Genomic DNA, 15,397 nt, shown 5'->3' on the forward strand with positions numbered 1-15,397 from the left:
GCAATGATACAGCTCTACCTACTGGGTACATTGGTGGCCAGCCCATAGTGAACCAAAACAATGAGTACAGTTAAGTGAAATGCTTGTTTCCTATCCTCTACTTCCCTTCCCTCCTCCCCAGTGAAAGACAGAAAAGGAAGAGAGAAGGAATGGAGGAAGAGGAAAAAAACAGGCCATATCCTCTTCCCCACTTCTGGTCTTGAACCAAGGGTTGAGCCTAAGGAAGAGGCCAGTGGGAAGCATTGAATTGCATGTGAGATTCAAGTTTTGATTTGCACTGGCCTGTACTTTTCAAAACCAAAAAGGGAATCTAGAATGGGACTTATTCTTATATATCTGAAACTGCCTGAAAATCTACTGGATCTGTTCAAACTGAACTGTCATCAAGAGTTGATTTGTCAGATCAGGGAGAAGGCAGTGGCTGGGGAGAAAAATAAAACTTCTTCATGCTTGAACTCCACTGGGACTGTTCAGAATGTCCAATAAACCAATGTTAAGATAGTTCTTTCCAATGTTATTATGCCATGGCAAAATGGAAAATAGTAATTCTACTTGTAAGGAATATTGAGGCAAATAGACAAGCATATTTACCCCTAGAGATTGTAGAGGTGGCTGGCGGAGGGTCTTATTTTTTTTAAATAGAAACGGAGTTTTGTCATGTTGCCCAGGCTGGTCTCAAACCGCTAGACTCAAATGATCCACTCTCCTTGGCCTCCCAAAGTCATGGGATTACAGGCATGAGCCACCACCCTCAGTAATGCTGAGGGTCATTAGCTCCCTTCTCCCCTAGGTTCTACCTCAAGGACTGATGACTGTGGCCCATGGATTGTGATATTATTTTACAGTGTGTGAATTCAGAGTGTCCAGGGAGAATTGTCCATCTTACTTTATGGGAGATAGGATAATTTTTAGTCTTCATATATAGTCTCTTAAAAATGACATGCATTATGGAAATCCCTAGTTTTAAAGTCTCATCTGCACATCAGCAAGTAGAAGCAGCAAATAATAATGGAACAAATATTGGTTTGGGAGAAAAAGTTCCAACATTGTTAATAGCCAGGTGTTTACCTTGGGCAGGACTCTTAATCTATCTGGGCTTTTTTTTCTTAATTGTCAGGTGAGGGGATTGGAGAGCAAGCATTTAATAAATGGCAGTCATCACCACTGCTACCACTGTCATCACCATTAAACAAGACTGAGTTGCAAGGGAAGGAGCAATAAGCATCTCGTTCAATTAGTTCACCAAACTTTGATTGAATGCCTGCTACATGTGAGACACAAAAGGCAATATGAAACACTCCCAAAGCAAGTAAAGTGGAATGTTTTATGCTCTAAGACCCCAGAACTCTCCAAAATCCTCAGTATCCTCTAGGACAAATGATGGGTGGTCAAATGTCTCCCTGTGGCCTCTGAAACCTTTCCTGTGATGTCTGTTTACTCCATGCAGCAGTACATACTGACCACATATTGGGTAGTTACTGGATGGGAGCGATTCCCTGGCACTGCCTGTCCTATTCCTCAGAGCTCCACTCCTCTGGTTTCTACAAGGATCCAAAGGAGGCAATATGTCTAGCAAAGGGCTCACCTACATCTGATGCCTGAAATATTAAAAGTGGATTTGGGATATCCATGGCATATCAGTACTGTGTTTGGTCAAATATCAAATTTTAGCTGCTATTTGCCCAAAGGTCTAGACATTATTATCTGGGAGGAGGGTGGTGTGTGTGTCTGGTAGGCATGGGGATCACTTTATGGGTATTCACTTTTCTCAGACAAGGAACTCAGAGTCAGGAAGCTGGGTAGAATTCTCTCTTGTGAAACAATTAATGAACATCAAGCAATTTGTTAATTTGCCTACTTCCTCCTCCCACACCATTTTGGTTTGGGTTCTTCTGAAAGCAGAGCCTTGAGACTAGGCCTTGGGGGCAGGTGATTTATTTGAGAGATGATCCTAGGAAGAGGAGTGAGGGAAAGAACTTTGAGAGTGACTTAGGGAAAGAGGAAAGTCAGTATAAGGGTGCATTATCAAGCTCATTGCTAAAAGAAAGGGGAGCTTGATTCCACCAGATTCTTCTTAGTCTTTTTTTTCAGCTGCATTTGACACCTTTAATAGGTCCCTGTTTTCTGAAAGTCTTTACTGCCTTGCTCCTGGTGACCCTGCAATCCTGGTTCTCCTTGAATTTCTTTGCTTTATTCTCATCACTTTTTCTGGGTTTCTCTTTCTCTACCTACCCACTCAGAGACTCCAGGTCCTTCCTTCAGTCCACTACTCTTCTTCAATCCATCTTCTTGAATCATCATCTGTGCTCCCAGATTCAACTACTTTCTATGAAATGATGATTCCTAAATCTGTACCTGAAGCCTCATATCTACTTTGAGATCCAAGATCATATCTTCAACTGCCTGTGAGACATCTCCACCCAAACCCATGAGCACCCCAGCTGGGCGTTTCTAAAACCAAAATCATCTTCCTTACCCCCAAACCTACTCTAATTTTTTCTAGATCATGTAGTAGTACCATTCTTTACTTGCTTGAACCAAGCTAAAAACATGCAAGCCACCCCCAACTTCTCTCTGTCCCTCACCTTTGAAAGTTTAAATGATTTGGCTATAGTCACACAGCTAATGGGTAGCAAATTTGAAGATAAAGATAATACATTTTTTATCCTATATTAGCAGTTGATTAACAATCTCTGAGTTTTCATTGTTGAATTTTATTTTACTCTTTATACTGTCTAAAGAAAAAAATTAATGAGAATGAGAAGCAGCTGACAAAAGAAAAAGAGGATAAGAAACAGATTCAAAGTTAGACTAATTCTGAAAGTAGTTGGCACGTTCCTCTAGTATCTAAAAGTGGCCATCTATTAATGGGACCATCAGAGAACCACCAATCACAACTGCATCTTATTTATATCCTTTTCCCCACCCTACCTTAGCTTTTCTTTTACTAATCATGCTTTGTGGGAATCCATTTGCCTGTATTCAAACATAAGAAACAGCAAGATAAAACGCACACCAAATTTTACAATAAAGATTTTGACAATGATGTAATTCATTGCATCCCCTTGTCCTCTCTGAGGATCCATAGGAGAAACTTCTGTCTGATATCAGTGCCAGAAATAGTTGTGCTCCTACTGAAAAACTAGTTTATTTTTGCCTTTCAGTCAAATTTGTTCTTTACTGTGCTTTGCTCTTCCTGTTGACTCTTTCCAAATTCAAAGGCTTTGAGTTCCACATCTAAGAAGTGTATAGGATTAAATGGCATCTGTTGACTCCTCATTATGTATAGATATTTGTTAAAATGCATGTTAATGCATAAACATTTGTAGGCCACCATAAGTTCTTTTTAGAATAAGCAGACATTTCTGGCACCTTTGTCACATCTCCCAGCCCACATCTGATTTCAGCACTAACACGAGTGGACAGCTCCCAGTAACAGTGACCCAAGAAGGACATGCTTTCAGCCCCAGCGTCTTCTCCAAAGCCCTGGGAGCTTGCCACGCTGATGCAACTCAAGAAAGTGCAGGGGAAGCAATGTTCCTGGGGGATAACCATTAAACAGTGAGAAAAGGAAGCTGGTGAATAAAGACTCCAGTCTCTCACCTTGGATGATTCTGTTGTAGTCTGAATATCCACCTGTGCTCCATTATCACATCCCATTTCTGTCTCCTGTGTTCCAATTCAATCTTGCTCATTTATCTCTATTGCTTTGAGATAGTCTTTTGCTTTGGGGTCTGGTTTGGCAGAGGAGAACAAGGCGTAGGAAGAATTCATTCCAAAAAGCACAGGTTGCAGGGGCCACAGACATAAGTGCCTCCAGGACAGGCTGGTCCCAGGAGTGGGTTAAGCAGGCAAGAGGGAGATAGCCTATCAAAAACATTCTAAAAGGGGCACTATCTGCGTGCACTGATTATAGGTAGATGGGAGCTCAGACCCAGTGTTGCTGGCTTTGATTTTTTTTTTTTAAAGAAAGAGACTTCTGTGAGAGTTTTTAATATATATAGTTCTAAAATTTTTTAAAACAACGTGTGAGCTATAAAATCCATGTATGTGGGCAAAATCTTTGACTTGTAGAATGTTTCCTGTGCCAGGCACTGGGCTGTGGGAAACACTAAAATGAGTGAGAAGCATTATTTTGTCCTCTCTGGACATCATCCTTTTCAGAAGGGGCATCCTTGTCCTGAAGGGACTCATGGTGGAGCAATGAAACCTGTAAATTCCAACTCTATAACAAGCAGGATAAAAGTAATACATTCTGGGAAAAGAGAGTCCAGAAATGTTGTGGGTGCCCCAACAGGAAGAGATTTTTATGAAGACATTTTTCTTTATATGATATTAACATGAAATATTGATTCTACCTTAAGTAAGTAAATGGACTTCAAAATATCCAGGGGAAGCTATTTATTCTGCTGTTTGTGGGGTCTGTGGTATGGGACTGGCTTAACAGTGAGACCACTTTAATAATGAGATCTTTTGGTACTTCACTAAATAAATCCTTTTGAGGAAAGAATTTATACTTTGCTAATTTCTGCTTTGGAGTGTTACAGCGACATGCCAGTGTAAATAATGAAATAAGATTTGACAAGATCACTCTTTCTAGGCAGGATCACTAATGAGTGAGGTAATCTCTTAAGATGTATCCACATGTTCTGGGGCCGACCATTCCAGGACTCCCCATGTATGGAGCTTGGTAAATAGTGGCAGAGACAGACCTGAAGAGGCCCCAGGTCAGGGGATCAGCAGTCCACTGCGTGGGGCTTTGATTGAGGGCAGGAGACAGAGAGGCCAGAAGTCAGCAGAACACAGGCGTCAGGATCAGGGATGATTATATCGTCCCTTGTGTCCTCATGGAACTGGGCACCCACCCCTTTAAAGACTCTTCACATGCTATATTGCACCCTATACACTTTCCCTTCAGCAAGCTTTAGCATCTTGGAGCAGGGCCAAGTTGTCACATACTAGTGCCCAGCAGATGGCGGGTATAAAGAGACATATTGAATGTCAGTTGAATGAATGAATAGAATGATAAATTGAATAAAATAAATGGATAAATTGATAAAATGAATGATAAATTGAATAAAAACCTAGTCAGATGTATGGCATCAGGGAGATTCAGCAAGAGGTGGTTGTACTGGCAGGTGAGTGGAGCAAGGTGATAGGCAGTTTGGAGCTGGCAATGTGTGGAGATCTGGGTCTGTGGACCAGAAGGTGAAGTGAAAGACAGGCTTCTGCTTGGGGACTTCTGAGTGGGTTATCAAGGCAGAAACTTAGGCATGAGGAAGCACAACAGGAATTCAGTTAATAGGTTGAAGGAACAGAGCACAGCTGTAGGGCATCAGATAGCAAGTGGTAAGAATGAATGCTCTGGCATCAGGGAATTCAAGTTCGAATCTTGGTTCGACCTTTTCCTAGCTACCTGACTGGGCAATTGGTCTCTCTGTATTTTAGTGTTCACATCTCTTAAGTGGGGGTGTTATTGTAATGAAGATCAAATGAAATGTAGCATGTGAAGCACTTAGCACAATGACTGGCAGATAATTATTAATGAAAATATAGATAGGGCTTGATTAGTAACAGGATGCTGGTGCTGAGCCTTCTAAGCAGGGACCAGGAGCTGCAGAGTCAGCCTGAGGTGTTTTGCAAACCATATATACTCTCAGCCCAACTCAACCATTGTGTTTCAGGGAAGAGAATGCATATTATAGTTTAGAAGTTTTCTAGGAGACTCTAATATCTTCCTTACCAAGCCTTCTCCCTAATGCACTTGGATTCTTATTTTTTTTAAATCATCCACACAAAACCAGTGTAGGTTGCAGCATCTTGTTAAAGGATTTTCCCAGAGGTGAAGTTAAAGTAGCCCCAGACTATTGGGAATAAAAGGATATAGGGATAGGCAGGGCTGATGTATCCATGAGGCCTACAATACTTTTATGGGCCCACAAAGTGTTTTAATTCCTCTTTTTTTTTTTTTTTTTTTTTTTTTTTGAGACGGAGTCTCGCTCTGTCACCCTGGCTGGAGTGCAGTGGCGCGATCTCGGCTCACTGCAAGCTCCGCCTCCCGGGTTCACGCCATTCTCCTGCCTCAGCCTCTCCGAGTAGCTTGGGACTACAGGTGCCTGCCACCACGCCCGGCTAATTTTTTGTATTTTTAGTAGAGACGGGGTTTCACCGTGGTCTCGATCTCCTGACCTTGTGATCCGCCCGCCTCGGCCTCCCAAAGTGCTGGGATTACAAGCATGAGCCACCGTGCCCGGCCTAATTCCTCTTAAAATGAGAAGAAAAGGGAACTTTTAGGTCAAATAAAATGTTGTAATATGTGATGTTAATATATTAGTCTTTATACTGACAGAGTCATAAAATATACTTTTTAATATTTTTATGAAGGAAGGGGCCCACGAAAGCCAGAATGCCAAGGTCGTTCACAAAAGTCACCCATAAAAGTCATAATGAGGTCCTGGGGACAGGGACCCTAGCCAGTTATTGCACTAGAAATTTTCTACGTATAGGTGCATGAGAAACATTTAGAAAGCTTATTAAAATGCAGTTTCTTGGGCCCCAATCCAAAAAGTCAGATACAGCCTGTTTGTAGTGGGTCCAAGAATCAGCATTTTAACAGAGGCTCAGCTCATTTTGAAGCAGTCTTAAGGAGCCTTGAAAAACCTGGACCACACTCAGCCAGTTGCTGTCACCCACCTGACAGTGTGACAGAGGTGCTAGGAGGATAGGAGTCTGCTGTCACAGACAAATCCATCATCAGCCCTGCCAAAAGTGTGATCAATTCAGTGAACAAGTCAATCTGATTCTGCAGCACTAATAACTGCTGGATTGATCAAACTTTTTTCTTGCCATTTACAAGTTAGGAGTTCACTTAAATTTGCTTATAGAAAACATGCTTGAAGCAGCTTTTCTTTAATATGTTGTACCATTGTGAGATGTTCCTTTGCATTTAAAACCCAGTTTCAAAAGGTTATTTTACAAAATCATTACGTGAAACTTTTGCATTAAACACGGGTATTACACAGGCAGCAGAGTTTGCTCCACTTGTGGTGAATAAGCAGATTTCTTTAATTAAATATGTGATTTTCTTTAATTACAGCAGTTAGTTTGAAAGGTGATAACTAAATAAGATTTTATCCTGCAAAATTTATAGAAGAGGAGTGACATTAAAATAACATTAACGTTGTAGGACAGACTTGGTGAAGGAGCAAATAGTCAGAAAATTGACAAATCCCTCACCTTAATGACTTGAAGCTGTGCTCTGTCGGGAGCGGTGTGATTTTTATCTGCCTTTTCTTGCATTGGTGACTCTTTCCAATAACATTCAATGATCTTTTAATACTTTTGTCTTGTCTCTATTATTATTACTACATAAATGATTACCTTTAAAGATCTACCTCAGAGACGTTGAAGGTTCAGCTCCAGACCACTACAATAAAGCAAATATCACAATAACATGAGTCACACGGATTTTTCGGTTTCCCAGTACATATAAAGTTATATTTATACTATACTGTATTCTATTTTTTTTTTTTTTTGAGACAGAGTCACCCAGGCTGGAGTGCAGTGGCGCTATCTCAACTCACTGCAACCTCTACCTCCCCGAGTTCAAGCGATTCTCCTGCCTCAGCCTCCCAAGTAGCTGGGAGGCTGGGAGGTACCCGCCACAACTCTTGGCTTTTTTTTGTTGTTGTTTTGTAGAGGCGGGATTTCACCATGTTGGCCAGGCTGGTCTCAAACTCCTGATCTCAGGTGACCCACTCACCTCAGCCTTCCAAAGTGCTGGGATTACATGCGTGAGCCACTGTTCCCAGCCTATACTGTATTCTATTAAGTGTGCAATAGCGTTATGTCTAAAAAACAATGTATATACCTTAATTGCCTCAATTAAAGATACTTTATTGTTTACAAAATGCTAGTGATCATCTGAGCCTTCAGTGAGTTATAACCTTTCTGCTGGTGGAGGGTCTTGCTTTGAGGTTGATGGCTGCTGACTGATCAGGGTGGTAGTTGCTGAAGGTTGGGGTGGCTGTGGCAGTTTCTTAAAATAAGACAACAATGAAGTTTGTGTGTTCCTTTCATGACAGATTTCCTTGTAGCATGAGATGCCGTTTGATAGCATTTAATAAAGTTGTCAAAATTGGAGTCAGTCCTCTCAAAACCTGCTGCTACTTTATCAACTAAATTTATATAATATTATAAGTCCTTTGTTGTCATTTCAACAATGTTTGGAGCATCTTCACTGGGAGTAGATTTCATTTCAAGACACCACTTTCTTTGCTCATCCATACAAAGCAACTCTTCATCCGTTTAAATTTTATCATGAGATGGCAGCAATTCAGTCACATCTTCAGGCTCCACTTCTAATTATATTTCTCTTTCTGTAACATCTGCAGTTACTTTCTCCACTGAAGTCTTGAAGCCCTCAAAGTCATCCATAAGGGTTGGAATGAACTTCTTCCAAACTTCTATTAATGTTGGTATTTTGACCTCCTCACATAAATCATGTATGTCATTAATGACGTCTAGAATGGTGAGTCCTTTCCAGATGTTTACAATTTATTTTTCCCAGATCCATCTGAGGAATCACTGTATATGACAACTCTGGGCTTATAGAATGTATTTCTTAAATGTAACACTTAAAAGTAGAAATTATTCCTTGATTCATGGGCTGCAGAATGGATATTGTGTTAGCAGGCATGAAAACAATTTAAATCCTCTTGTACATCTCTGTCAGAGCTCTTGGCTGACCAGGTCCTAATTTTGAAAGAAATCCTTTTCTCTGACCAGTAGGTCTCAACAGCAGGCTTAAAATATTCAGTAAACCATACTGTAAACAGATGTGCTGTCATCCAGGCTTGGTTATTTCATATACAGAGCACAGAAAGAGTAGATTTAGCATAATTCTTAAGGGCCCTTCAATTTTTGAATGGTTAATAAGCATTGGTTTTAGCTTAAAGTCACAAGCTGCATTAACTGCTTACAAGAGAGTCAGCCTGTCCTTTGATGCTTTGAAGCTAGGTATTGACTGCTCCTCTCTAGCTACGAAAGCCCTAGATGACCACTTCTTCTGATATAAGGCTGCTCAGTCTACGTTGAAAATATATTGTTTGGTGTAGCCGCTGTCTTCAATGATCTTAGCTAGATCCTGTGGTAACTTACTGCAGCTTCTCCATCTGCACTTACTGCTTCTCCTTGCGCTTTTATGTTATGGAGATGGTGTCTTTCCTTGACCCTAATAAACCAAGCTCTGCTACCTTCAAACTTTTCTTCTGCAGCTTCTTCGTCCTCACCTCTATCAGCTTTCACAGAATTGAAGAAAGTTAGGGTCTTGCTCTGGATTAGACTTTGCCTTAGGGAATGTTGTTTCTGGTTTGATTTTTCTATTCATAGTACTAAAACTATATCCATTTCAGCAATAAAGCTGTTTCACTTTTTTTGTCATTCATGTGTTCACTGGAGTAACACTTTCAATTTCCTTCAAGAACTTTCCTTTGCATTCACAACTTGGCTATCTGATGCAAGAGGCTTAGCTTTTGGCCTGTCTCAGTTTTCTACAAGCCTCCCTCATTAAGCTTAACCAAGAGGCTTAGCTTTTGGCCTATCTCAGTTTTCTACAAGCCTCCCTCATTAAGCTTAATCATTTCTAGTTTTTGACTTAAAGTGAGAGACATGCAACTCTTCCTTTTACTTGAACAATTAAGAAGACATTGTAGAGTTATTAATTGGCCTAATTTTAATATTGTTATGTCTCAGGGAATAGAGGCCCAAAGGGGAGAGAGACAGAGAGAGAAAGAGAGAGAGAGAGAGACAGAGAGAGAGATGGAGAAAGACCAAAGGAATGGCCAGTCAGTGCAGCAGTCAGAACACACACATTTATCAATTTAAGTTCACCATCTCATATAGGCATGGTTTGTGGCGATCCAAAACAATTACAACAGTAACATCAAAGATCACTGATCACAGATCACCATAAGAGGTATAATAATAGTGATAAGAATTTAAAACATTGTGAGAATTATCAAATTATGACATGGAGATATAAAGAGAGCAAATGCTGTTGAAAAAATGACAACAATCAACTTGCTTGATGCAGGGTTGCACAGACTTTCAATTTGTAAAAAATGAAATATCTGCAAAACACAATAAATTGAGGCACAATAAAACAAGGTAGGTTTGTACTTTCCTGTTTTTGCAGAACAGTTTATCACTTTGAGACTGACCCATTTGGCATTGAAGACAATTTCCTTGAGTTTGTTCTGAAGCCCAAATCTACCTCAGAGATTTTCTTACCCTAACAACTTTAACACCTCTTTTTTTCATAAAAATAGTTTGTAATGCCTCCTTCACCACCTTAAAATAAATGTCGTAGGTAATAAAATCTACCTAGTCATATTCATTAAAAATTAGTATAATGTCTTATCTATAATAAACAAAAAAAGAGGTAAGTAATTAATAATAAATGAGTATGTATTTCAAAATGCAAATGCTTGGGCAGGGCAATATTAGAAGACATAATGAAGTTGTCAAGTGCTTACACTTTCATAAAGAATCACACTGAATGTAAAATCCTCCCTGTATTTGCTATTGGGAACTCAAATACCCAAGTGACATCATTTTTATTTATATGATTTTCTAAAATGATGAAGGACTGCTGGTGATGTTCCAGAAAAAGCAAAACGCATTCTACCCTCAATTTCCCTAGTAATTATGCTCCTGGAAATTCAGTGTATACAACAAAATGGTGCAGAAATACCTGTGTCTCTATGTAAAACAGGCTTTTGTTCTAGGCTCAGATAATTGTAAGCAATATTTCACCCTCATTAATGGTAGGATTATTCATTATGTGGGCCACCACCCTTTATCTCTCTGCCTGCTAACTGCCAGTAGCATAAAAAATCCCCACAGAGGTTTTCAGAATTCACCCCATTAAGAATAACTGGCATTTATTTATTTTTTAAAAAGGAGACCACACTATCAGCATGAAAGAGAAGCAGCAGAGAGAGAGAGGGCAAGAAACTAACATTTATTAGATGCCAGGGAGCAGTTCACAAACTTAGAGCTTGAATGAGATTTTGTCCTCAGAAACAATTTTTAAAAATAGAATTTGATTGCCAATCCAAAACACAATTTTCATCATTTCTATTGCTTTATATCTACTGTGCTTTACTTATTTGTGTTACCTTCCAGTTTTCTAAAGATATGTAAATTGTTTTTGTTCGAGTAGCTGAATGTCCATCGATTTGTTTAATCCTTACAACTACCCATCCACGGGAAAATTCTATGCTCTACATTTTACAAATAAAGACATGGAGCCTCTAAAAGATGAAGTAATTTGTCCAACATTACACAAACTTGTAAGTGATAGAGTCAAGATTCAAAACAATATTTACTTGAGTTAAAACAAAAAAACCCTACGCTGTTTCCACAACACGTTCACCATGTATACATTGCACATCTGGCTGTGAAGCTGCAGCTCTTAGGAGCTGATCTGGGACAGGTGCCATGTGAGTCTTGAAAAAGTCTTGATTTCTGACATTGATATCTGGAATGAGCAGATGGTGTTCTCTGGACGGGTGACACCAGGACCACAAGTTCTGACTGTTCCAAGGGATACCAGAAAACATTGAACTCGTGTTGCAAGCCTTTCCCGCTGAGTTTATTCACTCTTGTTTAAGCAGCCCAACAGCATCTATAAAGATTTTTCTCCACAGTGTGCTCCTGTAAATAAGTAGTTTATCAAAGAAAACCTTTCAACAAATAGCATGAAGACATGCCATATTGACAACCTCTCACTGACTGCCTATTCCTTCCAGGGATCCTGGTGAGGCAAATTCACCTCCCATTCAACAACTGCATTTGCTGCAGGTCTGGTGGCTGAAGAGGTTTTGGATGAGTTTGAATTTGCAATTTATTTGAACAATCCTGGTCTTCTGATTCCATCCTAAGGAATAACTTCTTGGAATTCAATAATGTATTGCAGAACATGATAAACAACTCATTTCCCTGGGATTTCCTGTAATTATCTTTGGGATATAAATCTCACATGCATGAGAAGGCAAGGTTATAGGATGAACTGGACAGTATTTATTTATCCTGGCATTTTGGGTAGTAATAGCTATAAAATTCATTTATTGAGCACCTAAGCAACATGAAGTGCTACAAGGATACCAGAGTGGCCATGTGTGCACTTTGTGTCCCTCCATCTCTGGCGATTGCTGGCTGGACCAGTGATGGAAACCTTACCCAATTTGAATTTACTATCAGAATTTGGAATTGTGACTGTGAATGGATAATGACTACTAATTCTTGAAGGACATTTTGTGGTGTGTGGGAGAAAGGGCATCTTCACCCACCTGCAGGGTCCGGGATAGGAAAGAATGAAGTCCAGGAGCAGAAACGGGCAGAAGTGGGAGCCCGTGCAGCTCCAGAGAAGGAACTGCCTGAAGCACTGTCTTGGTTCCTGAAAGTACTTTGGTACTGCATACACAGGCCTTGGGGTTACGTGAAGTGACTGATCATTAAAATAAATTCCCTTTTTCTGTCTAAGAAAGTCTGACTAATTTTTTACTATGTTCAAGAAAACAATTCATGATGAAAACAGCTAGATTCTTTATATACTTCATCTTGTTTAGTCTTTACAACAACCCTTTGAGGTAGATATTATTATTTCTGTTTTCTAGATGAACAAAAAGAGATTCAGAGCTATTAAAAACTTCCCTAAGGTCAAAAAGCTAGCAAATGGGCAGCCAAAAAGTTGAACCCATAAAAATTCTTTGCTGCATCTTTACTCTTGTTAAAAAAATCTCCTTAAGCTTGTGTTATACTTTATAATTTCCAAGACATATGTTTTGTTGTTGATTTCTTACAATGACCTAAAGAAAATGATATGTTTAGACAAGGAAATTGAGGTATGGAAAAGCTAGATAAGCAGTTGAATTTGAACATATGTATGTGTGTGTGTGTGTGCGTGTGTGTATTATATTTCAATAAGCTCTTTGCTTTTGAAGAATTATACTCTCTAAACCTCCTTCAACATTACTGAAATAAGAACTCAGTTGATTGACTGGTAGAAGGGAATGAGAAGTTCTTATTATGGAATAGTCTAGTCTTTACTACTCTCTTGTCCAAAACATATATCACCAACATTTACAGAATAAAATCAATATGATTAGTATTTCATACATATAAAGAAATATGTAAATAAGGCCTGTAATTACATGTTGCATTAGTCAGCTAGGGCTGCTATTAAAAAAATAACAAAATGAGTGGCTTAAACAGCAGAAATTAATTTTCTCATAGTTCTGCAGGCTAGGAAGTTCAATATGAAGGTGCCACTTATTGGATTTCTGCTGAAGGTTCTCCTCCTGGCTTGCAGGAGGAAATATCATGTGATGTTAGGGGGTTAGGGCTTCAGTATACCAACTTGGGTGGGATACATTCAGTCCATAACACTTGTTTACAAAGGTTCTAGCAGAGTTGTGACACAGATGGGCAGATTTCCTTGTCATCTCTCTTTCAAGGCGGGCTCTCTCTCTCTCTCTCTCTCTCTCTCTCTCTGTATTGTGAAAGGAGGACATCTCAGGTCCTTAGATTCCACTTCAAATTTGGGAAACCTTAGTTTCCAGTTTCCTTCGTGGCCCACCATTAATTCCAAATTGCTGGATTATTGATAAAGACATTGGATTGTTAATCACCCTGACTTTATTTACCTCCCTTGTATTGTTGTTTGTTTTTGTGTTTGTTTGTTTTTGCCACTGGGAATTTCCTTAGCTCCCTGTTTGTGATCTCAGCAATGTTTTTAACTTTCTGTGTAGTAATTTATCCAACATCCAGCTCTTTTGGAATGGTACATTTTTTTTTCCCCAGAGCATTGAGTCTCTCTTCTTTTTTTAAAAAAATTTATTCTGGTAAAGTACACAGATGATATTTACCATCTTAACCATTTTCAAGTGCACAGTTCAGTGGTATTAAGTACATTCATGTTGTTGTGCAGCCTTCAGTCCCCGTTTATCTCTATAACTCTTTTCATCTTGTAAAACTGAAACTCCGTACACATTAAACAGTAACTCTCCATTCCCTTCTCGCTCCAGCCCTTGACAACTCCATTCTCCTTTCTGTCTCTATGAGTATGACTCCTCTGAGTACCTCATATAAGTTGGGTCATACGGTATTTGTCTTCTTGTGAATGGCTTATTTCACTTAGCATAATGTCTTCAAGGTTCATACTTGTCATAGCATATGTCAAAATTTCTTTCTATTTTCAGGTTTTAAGGCTGACTGATAAGGGGGATCTTCTGTCATTTTGCTATTTGTTTTCTACATGTCTTATAATTATTTTTCTTCCTCATTTCTTGCATTACTTCTTTTGTGTTGATTTTTTGTAGTGAAACATTTTAGCTCCTATCTCATTGCCCTTTGTGCATAGTCTGTAGTTTTTCTTTTGTGGGTATTATGAGAATTACATTTAACATCTTAAAGTTATAACACTCTAATTTGAATTTATACCTGTTTAACTTCAATAACATACAGAAACTTTGTTATTTTACTTCTCTATCCTTACTCTTTTTAGTTTCTGTCCAAAAATTACAATGTCTAATTGTTTGTTCAAAGACATAAACTAATACAAATTTAGCATTCCAAATCTGAAAATTCAAAATCTAAAACACTCAAAACTTTGAAATTTTTTGAGTGATGACATGATGTGCAAAGGAAATGCTCATTGGAGCATTGTGGATATCAAATTTTTAGATTTGAGAACTGGTAAGTATAAAGCAAATATTCCAAAACCTGAGATCTGAAACACTTTTAGTTTCAAGCATTTCAGATAAGGAATAATCAACCTGTAATTTTTAAAAATGCACTAGTCTGGGCACGGTGGCTCACATGTATAATCCCAGCACTTTGGAAGGGTGAGGCGGGCAGATTACAAGGTAAGAAGTTCGAGACCAGCCTGACCAACATGGTGAAACCCCATCTCTACTAAAACAAAAATTAGCCAGGTGTGGTGGCACACACCTGTAATCTCAGCTACTTAGGAGGCTGAGGTAGGAGAATTGCTTGAACCTGGGAGGCAGAGGTTGCAGTGAGCTGAGATCATGCCACTGCACTCCAGCCTAAGTGACAGAGCGAGACTCCATCTCAAAAAAAATAAAAATGCACTCATCTCTTAAATTATGTAGAAAACAAAATGTGGAGTTACAATATTACTAGCTTGTAGAGTAATAACTGCTTTATAAATTTTTTAATGTTTAAATTTTTATATTTTAATAATTGCTTTGAAAATGTATTAGTGTCTTATGTAGAAAATAAAAAGGCGGAGTTATGAATCATTATTACAATAATACTGGATTTTATAATTACTCATTTATTTACCTTTACTGATATCTTTATTTCCTTA

The sequence above is a fragment of the Homo sapiens genome, chromosome 2, assembly GCF_000001405.40.
Source record: "Homo sapiens chromosome 2, GRCh38.p14 Primary Assembly".
NCBI lineage: Eukaryota > Metazoa > Chordata > Mammalia > Primates > Hominidae > Homo > Homo sapiens.